Here is a 13,027-nt window from a genome sequence, read left to right as displayed (position 1 = left end):
AAGACATCTGGGGGACGGGATTAGGAAGACTGCAAGGGAAGAAATAAAGTGCTAGGTGGGTCCATTAACTTCCTGGATCCACAGAACTAGCATTCAATGTGCCATGGGACTGGCCTCTGAAACACTTGGTCATCAAGATTCTCCAACCAAAATCCCCCAGTACATATGCTCCTCAACTTAGGATGGGGTTTTATGTCTGATAAACCCATCATAAATTGAAAATGTAAGTCGGCCAGGCGCGGTGGCTCACGCCTGTAATCCCAGCACTTTGGGAGGCCGAGGCAGGCAGATCACGAGGTCAGGAGTTCAAGACCAGCGTGGCCAACATGATGGAGCCCCATCTCTACTAAAAATACAAAATTAGCCGGGCGTGGTGGTGCATGCCTGTAATCCCAGCTACTCAGGAGGCTGAGGCAGGAGAATCGCTTGAGCCTGGGAGGCAGAGGTTGCAGTGAGCCGAGATCGTGTCGCTACACTGTAGCCTGGGCGACAGACAGAGACTCCATCTCAGGAAAAAAAAAAAAAAAAAATGTTGTAAGTCAAAAATGCATTTAGGCCAGGCGTGGTAGTTCACGCCTGTAATCCTAGCACTTTGGAAGGCCAAGGCAGGTGGATTGCTTGAGCTCAGGATTTTGAGACCAGCCTGGGCAATATGGCAAAATCCCATCTCTTCAAAAAATAGAAAAAAAATAGCCAGAAGTGGTGGTGCACAGCAATAGTCCCAGCTGTTCGAGAGGCTGAGGTGGGAGGATCACCTGAGCCTGGGAAGGTAGAGGCGGCATTGAGCCATGATCGCACCACTGCACTCCAGCCTGGGCAACAGAGTGAGACTGTCTCAAAAACAACAACAATAATAAAAAAAAAACACGAAAAAGCCATCATCTAACCTACTGATTGTCATAGCCTAGCCTACCTGAAACGTGCTGAGAACACTTAGCCTGCAGTTGGCCAAAATCACCTGGCAACACAGTACACTGCAGAGTATTGGTGGTTTACCCTTGTGATCAGTAGCTGGCTGGGAGCCAAAACTTGCTGCCACAGCCCAGCATTATGAGCAAGTATCTTAATGCACATGTGGCTAGCCTGGGAAAAGATCAAAATTCAAAATTTGAAATACTGTTTCTACTGAATGCATATCACTTTCACACCATCATAAAGTCAAAAAACTGTGTCGTGAGTCAGGGACTGTATAATAATAATAGAGGTCAAAAAATGCAGGATTGAGGCCAGGTGTGGTGGCTCACACCTGTACTTGGAGCACTTTAGGAGGCCGAGGTGGGCGGATCACTTAAGGTCAGGAGTTTGAGACGAGCCTGGGCAACAAGGTGAAACCCTGTCTCTACTAAAAATACAAAAATTAGCTGGACGTGGTGGTGCATGCCTGTAATCCCAGCTACTTAGGAGGCTAAAGCACAAGAATCACTTGAACCTGGGAGGCGGAAGTTGCAGTGAGCCAAGATCTCAGCCTAGGTGAAAGAATGAGACTCCGTCTCAAAAAGAAGAAGAAAAAAATGCAGATTAGTTTGGGAGAAATTATCTTTTCAGACCTCTTTGCTAGAATGCATAAATGCCATTAAAAAAAGGATTGTATTATAACCCTAACACCAGCATATGTACTTAAACATGCTCCTAAAATAGGTGAGTGTGTGGTTGTTGGTGACTGGCATAGGCTTTCATAGGGTAACATACATCTACATGCTTGCCTATTCCTAGACTGGTTAGTGACAATATTTGGGTCCTACCCCTATCTCTTTCCTTTTCTTTTTTTCTTTTTTTGTAACTTTCTTACCTTATTTTCTCTTCATTTCTCAGAGTCAATTCTTTCTCTTATCTCTCCAAGACCTCACCTTAAATAGTTAAGGCTAACTTCTGTTCCTTTCTCTTCCTCCCAAGAGAACTGTGAATTAGGTGGAAATAGCATTGAACTAGCAAGAGAAGCGGATCCTGTACATGTTCTCCCGTGGAGTTGCTGCATGAGACTCGGGCAAGTCACTCAGACTCTTGGGAACTGTGAAACAAATCCCTCTCAACTCAAATCCAATTCCTTCTGTTCCAGCTCCTCTATGTGTCCCTCCTGGGGATCAGAGGGCTTTCTAGCTCCCACTCTGATGAGCTGTCATTCTTAAAACATCTCTGTAGTGCCCACCAGAACCAGTGAGCCAAGATCTTTGGCGAGTGTACAGCTGCTCAGAGCCTCAAGCTTTACCTCTGTAAAATGGGTTCAGCACATTGTCAAGAGATCAAATGGGCAGATATGTATATATATGCTATATATATGTTATATACAAACTATGATATAATATACAATGATTATATAATATATATAAGCTATACATAGCTTGGGACAATGCCTGTTATTTAGAAAGCACTGAAATGTTTGCTATCATTAGTACATTCTCTCTTTTTTGCTTTCATTGCTTGTTGATACCAGTGTGCACACCATGTAGAAGACTTTTTTGGATGGGGTCTGCTGAGAAAGTAACCTCTCCTTCCGAGAAAGAATGTACTGTACCCTAGTAAGTCTTAACCTGAAAACAAAAAAAGAGTAAATTATTCCCATTATGGTGGACCTGACTAAAGCAGAGTTTGGGGCCTTGTACACGACCTCCGACTTGGGGAGCCAACTGTCTAGAGGCTCCACCTGAAGCCAGGCCTGGCTGACAGAGGCCTCTCAGCTCCTTGCTTATGACGACCCTTACCTTGAGTGCCTGACCTCCTGACAGCCTCATTGATTCCTGGAATTTGGTGCCAACTCTCCACTTTCTGCAAGTCTGCAGGGGTTGGAGTGAGTAGTGGCAGATTTTATTAAACTATAGTCTTAATATGGTGGTGCTGAAGATGACAGGCCTCAGGGGCTGGGACGGCAAACTTCTCTCCAGCCTTCAGAGCTAAAAGTTTCCTATCTGGCATTGGGCCAGCGCTAAGAGAATCAGGAAAGTGGCGAGCCATGGAAATGCTTTGCGTCTCTGCCAAAGAAAAGTTTTGACCAGAGTTTTCCATGCAGGATTGGTGTGTGGGTGTGCATGCACACGTATGCATTCGGTAACATCTGATTCAAGAAGAAGCCAAACCGTAAAACAAAAACAGAAGTCTCACTAGGCCAAGGGGAAGAAGGGTCAGAGTGCAATCCTGGCCCACTAAACCCTCAGGACAGATCTAGATGGAACCTGGATCCCAGGAGCACATGCGTGGCACTTGGAGAGGCAGCAGAATGAGAGGAAAGTTTTGAATTGCTGGTGGAAAAGAGGCAATGGAATTATACTTAGGGAAAAAAGCTTTTCAAATAAGACACATCTGCCAGAAGAGAAGCCAGAGCAAGGGTGGGGACATGGGGAGGGCAGAGAAGGAGTCCAGGCCGAAATAAGCATTTCTGAGCTTATCCTGAAGGAGAGGGAGTGGTTAGCTGCATCACCCAGTTCAGCTCCCTCATTTTAGAGGTTGAGAGGCAAGGCCAGTGAGAGGCTGGGCTTGGCCTTTGAGGCTATGCTCTCCGCACATCTTGCTGCTTCCTTCCCTAAGATGTGATTCTTGGTTGGGGAAGTGCTTACCTTGACCTCCCCACCCTCACCCAGCATGACTCCAGCGGGGACTCTTACGACAACATGCAGCAGTAGCAAGGAACTGAATATGGTCTGTGAGGAGGCAGGGTGAGGGTGGAGCCTTTGGCAAAGGAAAAAACAGAGTCAGCTGTGCTTGGATCACCCTCACCCCTAGAAAATCATCACTCAGACTAACGTGACTTGTCTGCACCTCGCTTAGCAACTCTAACCATTCCCAGGTTGCTGAATGCTGTCCTGGTGTTTCAGCCCCCTGGAGATGTAAATGAATCCTTTGGATGACTTTTAGAGAAAAGCAATAAACATGTTGGGGTACTGGAAGAAAAGACAAAAGGGACCAGAGGGTGGGAGCTGAATCATTAGGTTTTAGGTATGCAGAGGCTTTAGAATGGGAGAAGACCTTTCAAGTTGTAAGCACCCAAGGGCCAGAAGAGGAAAGGACAAGTTTTAAATGGAATATGCCCAGTTGCAGACCCAAGAAGACTGGCTCAAATTGCTGTTCCCTTCTTGCCTGTTGGGTCCTGGTAAGGTCTTTTTCCTAAACTAGCTGTGATAAGCAGCTTATAGCTCATATCCTGTTATCTTTATCCTAGTTTTAAACATCCCTGCTCAAAGCAAACTCAAGCACTTTGTTTCTCAAGCAGCTGCCTAGGTTGGAATTCTATGGGCCGAAGCTGCCAAGTTTAGCCTCAGTGGGGAAGGCTGGTCAGCGCCAATAGGTGGAACAGCTGGCCCAGACTGTCTCATTCCAGGTCTGGCTGACTGCGGGGGCGAGAGTTGGCATAAAGATGAATTTGTCCTTCTGCTCAGGCTGGTGTCCAAATCCTGCAACTCCCCCAGCTTGTCCTTCTTTGGAGAGACCCGTGGAGATGTCCCAAGCTTGGGGCCCCACTGAACCAGGGTGTGTGGCATGTTTCTCATGAGGCTGGCTGAGTCAGCAGTTACATTTGATCTACTGACCCTCCCTCTCCTCTCCTGACTTGGGGTCCAGTAGGCAACCTCACTCCCTGCTAAGACCAGCGAACATGCTTGAGGGATCACTGAGGGGTAGGAGTGTGGACCCTCTGTCTGCTACACACTACACTGTTTCTGCTGCTTCATCCCTTGGGTCAATATGGGTGGCTTAAAGAATTCAGGAAAAGGTGAGTTCTTGGATTTCACTTGGAAGGAAGGAAAGAGTTGGCTGGACTGATTCTAATGCTGGTGCACTAGGGAGAAGGGGAGCCAGGAGGAAGGCTGGGGACCCTGAAAAGGTGGAGGACCAATGGTGAACGTGCCTCTAGGGTCTCCTTGGAAAAGAAGTCAAACTTACTGGATAAACTGGAATTGCCAGGACAGCAGGTCTAAGAGGCCAAGCTAGGTCTTCATTCAAGAGGATTAACTCATTTGTGTCCAACCAGATAACTTAGACTCTCTGTTCTAATTGGAATTGACTCTTGTGATTGCTAATCCAGTAATGGATCAAGGACTCTGCACTTCAGCCGTGGGTGCCTACAGGGTCAGGGACAAGTCCTTGACAGGCAGAAGGAAGATCTCTTGGCCAGGCCCTTACCATGAGCACCTGACCTCATGGCAGGTGACAGCCTCTTGGATTCCTGGAATTCCTGGTGCCAGGTCTCCACTTTCCTCAAGCTCCAGCGTTCCCACCTTCAATGTTTAGAATAACAGGAAACTCTAAGATGATCTATGGGTAACTAAGGGCAAAACTGCTCTGTGTGTGTCTGCAGTCCATAGAGGCCACACTGTGGCCCACAGGAACAGTGCCTCCTCACCTGTGTGCCACTATCCTGCAAGCTCCATCCATTGGAGCAGCCAGTCCAGGAAAGGGAGTTTCTTGAGCCCTGCAGTTCTCCTTCCCTTCATTCACTCCCTGCTGCCCATGCTGAGGACGCTCCGGGCTCTCCTGGCAGGCTTGCATCCTCCCCTGCCCAAACGCCCTCTTTCCCCTCCTCCCCTCAGGCCAACTAGCCCCAAACAGCAGGCGCAGGAGCCCAGGTTGTTGCAAAGTTGGGGTGGAGGGAAAACCTGAGCCCAGCGCACATCCCTGGACCCTTGCCAAGCCCACAGTTACAAGGTCTTTCTTCTTCTTCTCAGCCCCCACTGTGACTTTAGGGGTCAGGAGGGGTTCAGCTGCCCAGTTTCCCAGACTGCTTCAAACTTACTCCCCTGAGGAAGCATTGCTGGGGTGAGGGTGCCACTCTCTGCCAGGGACAATGGGATCAGAGGGCAAGAATAAGAAGTGTCTTCCCGTCATTCCTGCTTTCTTGTGACCTAATGAGCTTATTCTGGCTCTAAACTGTCTCCCTGAGCCCTGAGTCCCTTCCTGGTGCCAAGAAACCTCTTCCCCTCATGCTCTGAGTCACAGCTTAGTTGTCTTAGAAGAGCAGAAGTAGGAAGTCAGAGAAAGACGAGGGCCTCGGTGGGGTGGAAAGTGGGGGTCCCAGAGAGCATGAGGTAGTAGGAAGAATGTGATGTTTAATCACAGTGTGATGCTTTGAGGCATGGGCCAAGTCACTTTCTTCTTCTGACCTTGAATTTCTTCATCCACAAAGTTGCGACGAGGCTTACCTTGCAATGCTCTCCTGTGGATTAGTGAAAACATACACAAAGCACCTAGCACAATGCCCAGTAGGAACTGGGTAGAAAGAGCAGCTGTTATTGTCATCATAATCCTGTCTTTTTTCAGGTCCAATGACCTGTTGACTTTGGCTCCACTGCCATGATACTGTCCTTAAGCAAAATGTCGGGGACAAATAGAGGTAGAAAGTACTGGTGACTTCTCCAAAAATGTCATCTCTTCCTCCCTCTCTGCGTTTATGAGAACATAAATAGAAATGAAGCTCAGTGTTGTGAAATTCAGGGTTCCTTTTTTGCCCTAAATACTTCCAAATAAAGCCAGCCACAGGAGCTGCTCCACAGAGCTAGGATTCAAAAACCAGAAGCTGGTGAGGGGAACGGAGTGGCAGCAGCTGGAGGGAGCCCGAGGCGCTCCCAGCCCTGCTTCCCCTCCCAGCTGCCAGCCAGGCGCTCACAGTGACCTGCCCAGTCTGTCCCAACACTGCCCGATTCACTCTCACCTCTAGCCTGTTGAGCAGGAGTATGGCTTTCACTTTAAGAAAAGCCAATTATGAGAAATCCAAACTTAGGAAACCATAACGAGGACAAAGGGATTCACATGACATACAAATGGGTTCTTTGCAAAAGACTTCTGATGATGCCCATCTGTTGTGTAAAAAGAGGCACCCTTGGGTGTAGGGATCTAGGGTAAACTCTGAGTGAGTCCTTTAAAAAGAAACGACTTCTCGTCAGTAGACTCACAGTGATGTGATAACCTGAAGGTTTGCTGGAATGATTGATTGTCCCCAAATATAGGAAGTTTCCACAAGAAAGAAATGTTTCAGGCTCTTCTGCTCGTGAGGATTTTATTTTCTCTAGGAAACAACCAGAAGTCAGAGGTAAAAGTTCCTAGCTAATCATTTGAATTCTCCCTTTCCTTTCGTCTCCTTGGTGATTCTGGGTGCTGGGAAGTGTTTTAGGAACCAGTTATTTCCCAGCATCTCCTCCCCAGTCATAAAACACAGAAATGTTCATTACAGGTCAAAGGACTTTGCACCCCAAGACAAAGGAAAGTTCTTGGGAAGTAGTTTCCCTTAATAATCTTTATCCATAAGGGATAAAGAACAACCTCCCTTAATGAGACCAGAATGTTTAAAGGGAATCAGTGCTCTAGAAACAGCAAAGTGACATGAGACAAATAAAAAGAGGAGTCTACCTCTAGCTTTCAGTAGGCACGGTATACCTCGGCACTGATGTACTGAAGCTTTGCCAACCTGGATAGTGAGTGCATTTCAGCTATTATTTCTGCTTGGTAAAATGCATGAATCCATGTGTCCCTAATCTTGTTGCCTGCTGGTAGGGGAAAGATTTTTCATGATCCAGCACAACTCAAAGTAAGTATGCATGTTTCTATGACCCAGCAAACCACTCCTGAACATAAATTCTAGACATTCTCCCCCAGGTCCTGAAGGGGACACATGCCGAGATGGCCATTGTGGGTTTGTGTGTGGTGACAGGGAGCTGGGGGAAATGAGGCATTCATCCCTGTGGGAGTGGACGTGCACACGTGCTCGCAGCCCACCCCCCGGGGGCCACACGGCAGCTGGAAGTAATGGATCAGGAGTACTCCTGGCAACATGGGTGGATCCTAAAAACACGGTGTTGAGTGAAGAGATTAAGACAGAATAATAGCTAAAACACAATAGCATGTATGTGAAATGTACAAATGCATGCAGGCAAAAGAGGAATACACATTTTTCATAAAATGCCATAAAATGAAGGATATACACTACACACACTAGAGTTGTGACCTATGTGGGGAGGAAAATGAGGGTGGGGAGTGGGGAGTTATTTACTATACATAAATAAATCAAGAGAAGAGGTGACCACCCACAACCTTGTACACTCTGTTCGGAGCATAATTATTCGTAATACCCAGAAAGTGGAAACAACCCAACTGTGTCCATCAACTGATGAAGGGATAAGCAAAACGTGGTCTGTCTATACAAGGGGATGTTATTTTTTGCCATAAAAAGGAATGAAGTACTGATTGATGCTACAATATGGATGAATGCTCACATGAGCATTTGAAAACATTATGCTGGCCAGCCACGGTGGCTCATGTCTGTAATCCTAGCACTTTGGGAGGCTGAGCCACAAGGATCACTTGAGGTCAGGAGTTCGAAACAACGTGATCAACATGGTGAAACCCTGTCTCTACTAAAAATACAAAAAAGTTAGCCAGGCATGGTGGTGGGCACCTGTAATCCCAGCTACTTGGAAGGCTGAGACAGGAGAATCGCTTGAACCCAGGAGGCGGAGGTTGCAGTGAGCGGAGATCATGCCACCGCACTCCAGCCTGGCAACAGAGCAAGACTCTGTCTCAAAAAAAAAAAAGAAAAGAAAAAGAAAACATTATGCCAAGACAAAGAAGCCAGTCACAAAAGGACACATATGATTCCATTCATATGAAATGTCCAGAATAGGCAAATCTATAGAGACAGAAAGTAGACTAGCTTTGCCAAGGGTAAGAGGAGGAGTTCAGGGGGAACTTGGGAGTGACTACTAATATAGGGGGTTCTCTTTTGGGGTGATGAAAATGTTTTCAATTTAGATTGTAGCATCATTGTAACAACTACTTAGTAAATAAATTAAAAACCATTGAATTGTACACTTTAGATGAGTAAATTTTATGGTATATAAATTATAAATTATATTTCAGTAAAGATACTTAAAGTTGGCTGCAGTGGTGTGTGCCTGTTACCCCCATCACTCAGGAGGCTAAGGCGGGAGAATCATGCCTCTTGGGCTTGAGTTTGAGACCAACCTGAGCAACATAGTGAGATCCCTTCTCTATTTAAAAAAATAAATTAAGATGTCTAAAAAGAAAAACCGAGAAGAATGAGATAGGATGCTCACGTGAGTTGCCCTTGGGTAATTCCTCTTTGTGCTTCTGGTTTCATATGGGAACTGGGTTTCACCTACCTTAACCCTGCCCATGGCCATTGCCCTCAAATGATGCACACTTGCCTCTGGTCCTTCAGGCTTGAACACCAGCACTGGCCAAGGGCTCCCTGAAATGGACTCAAAGCTGACTCCAGGGGTGGACTGACTGGCTAACTCCATAGCTACCAGCTACCAGACCACTTCCTCCTCTCCCTAAAGACACTCATGGCCAGACTGTGTTGGAGGCTTTTCTCACAATGGAAGTTGGAAGGGACATTCAGGGCCTTTGGTATTCTGTTAACTGAACATAAGTTTGTTATCAGCAGTGTGAGTATAAGAAGGTATTTGTTTCCTTTCTGATTTTGCCAGTACCAGCTGTGACTTTATTTTTGAGACAGAGTCTTGCTATGTTGCCCAGGCTGGAGTGCAGTGGCTATTAACCGATGTGATCATGGCTTACTATAGCTTTGAACTCCTGGACTAAAGTGATCCTCCTACCCCAGCCTCCCAAGTTTTTGGGACTATAGGCATATACCACTGAACCTGGCTAGCTGAGTGACTTTAAAATTCCACCTAACTTCTCTGAGCCTCAGTTCCTCTCTCTGGAAAGTGGGCATAAAATTAACTGGAGCAGTTCGGGATAGTAAATGAAGTAATATACATGAACTCACCTAGCAGTGTACCTAACTCATAGATGACACCTGGTAGGTATTTGCTGAAGCTACCTTTCCAAAACCTAATCTGCTCCTCCAAACAGACAACTAAAAACACCAATGTAATATTGAGTTTGGGGAAATTGGTAGAAGGGTCCAGATAATGGGAAGTAAAGTCTTCATCTTAACTGGAATTCTACTATGTGCCAGTCAGTGTTGGGTGCTGGGAAAACGAAGATGAATAAAATGATTTTCTGAGCCAGCTATCTTGGGTACAAGAGACAGAAACCCAGCGTAAACTGGCAGCAGCTGGAAAGGGAGTGTATGGCTCCCTGAACTGAGTTGTTGGAACTTGCTCTTCTCTTCTTTTGCACCATTCTCTGTGGATAGGCTTCTGCTGTATAGCCTATTCCTACTCCTCTTAGCTTACAGACATAGGTGGGAAATGAGGCAACTCTTCAAACACATTCCTAGTCTCCCTTCCTGTGGAAACACAGTGGGTGCATCCAGTGGTGAGTCACACAGGCTAAGACTGTAGTCACTGAGCAGAAATGACAAAGAAATCAATCTCTGATCAGGAATCCCAGCACTCTGAACCCTAAAAGAAGTCTCTGCCTATTAGAAGATGGGTGATGGCAAGTGTCAGAAAATGCAGCTCAAAGTACATGGAAGAATGATGATTTTTTGCTGTAAACATAACTGAAACATTCCATGATAGAGTGGCCTTAAAATGTATCAGAGTTCTGTCTCTTTCTCTGCAGTTCTCTTGGCTCTGCCCTCCATGTGTATCTGCCTTGTCTCAGGCTGGCTTCCTCCGAGGAGTTAAGGCAGCCAACATCATCAGCCAGGGCAACACACTGCCTCATTCTCATCTGGGGACAGGGCAAGCAAATCTTCCTGCAGAAAGGAAAGTCTGAAGGGTGGCTCTGCCTGGACCACCACAGCCAGGGCAATGCCCAAACTCCTGAGGCCAAGAGGGCAAGAGGCGTGGTGTGGGGCTGATGGGCTTTAAAATCAGAAGCCAACTGGAAGATTGCAGCTTGCTTCACAGTGGGAAAGGGGTGGATGGACGCTGAGAACACGAGCACATGCCTACCATGGGGTCATAAATCTCATTTACAGATGGGGAAATGGGCTGAAGACCTCCCAAGGTTCAACATCCAGATGACGGCAGATCCAAGACCAGATAGTGGCAGTCTTGGCTACAGTCCAGTCAGTTGCTTTTGAATCAGTCATGGAATAGAAGGTCTCGGTGGTTAACAAACACCCCTCACTAGGGAGGTTCAAGCCAGGGCTGATGACGTCATAGCTATAAAAGGAATGACCACCCTGATCTCCAAGGGAGGAGGAATTGATGCTCTGTAAGAACAGCAGGGAGATTAGCTCACTAATCCCAGGATGGAGCCCCACAGCAAGGCAGGGAAAGGCTTATCCTGTTCAGTTTCTTGGATTTGTAATTTCCTGAGGGAAGCTCTGGCTTCCCCTCTGCCCTCTCCTCTTCCCTGCCCTATTCCCAGGCTGAGATGGACCGGCCGGGGCTGGTAATTGTGTTAGCTCAGTTTCCTCCCTGGCCCTGCCATCTCCATAATCTGATTTCAGAGGGACGAGGGATGGCAGGGTCCAGGCTCAGGAAGAGTTCTGCTCCCTCGTGTCCATCGAGCCTGCTAATTTGATAGAGCCACTTGCTGAGCTTCCACAGAGCCCCCATTAGGAACCAATTTCATCTGGTTACCAAGCCCTGGGCCTGGAGAGCTCTCCTGGTCTCAGCCCAAAAGGAAATTCAGCTTCCAATTCAATTTCTGCATAAGGACGTTAAGGCTTCATTATCATAACAGCAACCAGTGATTAAGCACCTACTATGTGTCAGACAGTGCTGGGTGCTGTGGCTCTGATGACTCATTAGGTATGATGTCACCCTTGGAAGCCCAGAGGTGCTGCCAGCGAGGCCTGGGACTGTCAACACTTGGCTACCTCCCTTTTGTCATGCAATTCTCCCTCTATTGGAATGGACTTGCCCTTGTGCAGGAGGACTTTCACCAGTTCTTGTGTGATCCTCAAGAGCAGCCTTGTTTCCAGGGGAAGATTACTGCCCTGTGTGAAGTATGAAGTGTGAGTGTGAAGTAGGATCTGACCCAAATCTCCTCTCCCACCCAAGGATTCCTGGTGTCTAACAGGGGCCAATAGCCACTCCAACCACTGGAGCTCACCTCCACCATCCCGCCCCATTGCCATGAAAACTGGCCTCTGTAGACCCCATTCTAAAGCCCAGCCTGCCAGGCATCCTGGAGGGCATGCACCAGGGCAGGAAGGAAGCTCTGCCCCCATTGGCTCTAGGACCTTGGACGAGTTACCTAAACTCTGAGCTGGAGCTTCCTCATCGGAAAATGGGGATTGTATAATCTACCCTATAGAACATGGAGCTCCCATGACCTGATGACACAGATTCAAACAGGTAACAAACAAAGGAGTAAATGTGTAAAGTGCCCCATAGTGACACATGCTCTGCCCCAGTAGCTGTGAGGGAGGCTGCTGGACCCACAGTTAAGGTCAGGAAAGTGATGAGTGACTCCCACGCCCTACTCACCCAGATAGACAGCCTACACCCTCTCTTAGGCGGCTGGCCAGCCTACTGCCAGAATCAGTCTGGGTACCCACAGCTACAGCCTGCATGACCCTCTGCCGTGGGAAGCCCCTTCTCTCAGGCTGTTTTTTGTAGCCCCTGGCTCCTGCTGCCAGCATTCTTGTGAGCACAGGAGCTGGCCAGGCTTGGGGACTGGTTTGGAAACAAGGTACTATCTCCCCCTCTGAGAGCACGCCAGGCCATTCTTTCCTGGGCTCGCTGCCCCACCTCATTCAAATCTGCCCAAATGTCACCTTTCCCAGCAGGGCTTCCCTGACCACCTGATCTAGGTTAGCCAGCCCCACACACAGCCCCCACTCCACTTTCCCCTCCCAACTGCTTTGTCTGTGGAGCACGTACCACTGCGTGGTATGTTCGCTCATTCATTTGTCTATCTGTGTCATAAGAATGTGAGCTCCGGGGGCAGGGCCTTGGATCTCTTGTTCACTGCTCTGTCCCTGTGCCTAGAGCAGTCCCAGGCACACAGTGGGCACTCGGTATATAATGAATAAATGAATAAATGAAAAGATTATTTGTTAATGTTTTATAGATAATTTTAATTTTGATTTTCTCTCCAGGGGTTATTTAAATGTGTTTCTTAATTTTTATACAATTAAAATTTGGGGAATCATTTTTGTGCCTGATTTTATTGAATTAGGGTCAGAGAATATGGCCCACTTAAATCTCTATTTTTG

At 47.2% G+C, this 13,027-nt stretch overlaps 3 annotated features.

The window, feature by feature from the left end:
• Positions 341-841: an enhancer, noted in NCBI's record as "H3K4me1 hESC enhancer chr14:69515530-69516030 (GRCh37/hg19 assembly coordinates)". NCBI's record gives its function as "activates a minimal SCP1, AML or CMV promoter by ChIP-STARR-seq in naive H9 embryonic stem cells {active_cell/tissue: H9 hESC(naive)}" and the evidence as "EXISTENCE:reporter gene assay evidence [ECO:0000049][PMID:30033119]".
• Positions 10,863-11,560: an enhancer, noted in NCBI's record as "OCT4-NANOG-H3K27ac-H3K4me1 hESC enhancer chr14:69504811-69505508 (GRCh37/hg19 assembly coordinates)". NCBI's record gives its function as "activates a minimal SCP1, AML or CMV promoter by ChIP-STARR-seq in naive H9 embryonic stem cells {active_cell/tissue: H9 hESC(naive)}" and the evidence as "EXISTENCE:reporter gene assay evidence [ECO:0000049][PMID:30033119]".
• Positions 11,561-12,257: an enhancer, noted in NCBI's record as "OCT4-NANOG-H3K27ac-H3K4me1 hESC enhancer chr14:69504114-69504810 (GRCh37/hg19 assembly coordinates)". NCBI's record gives its function as "activates a minimal SCP1, AML or CMV promoter by ChIP-STARR-seq in naive H9 embryonic stem cells {active_cell/tissue: H9 hESC(naive)}" and the evidence as "EXISTENCE:reporter gene assay evidence [ECO:0000049][PMID:30033119]".

The sequence above is a fragment of the Homo sapiens genome, chromosome 14 (genome assembly GCF_000001405.40).
Source record: "Homo sapiens chromosome 14, GRCh38.p14 Primary Assembly".
Classification (NCBI taxonomy): Eukaryota; Metazoa; Chordata; class Mammalia; order Primates; family Hominidae; genus Homo; species Homo sapiens.
The sequence above is the reverse complement of the archived record's forward strand: the minus strand, read 5'-3'. Positions and strand labels throughout refer to the sequence as shown.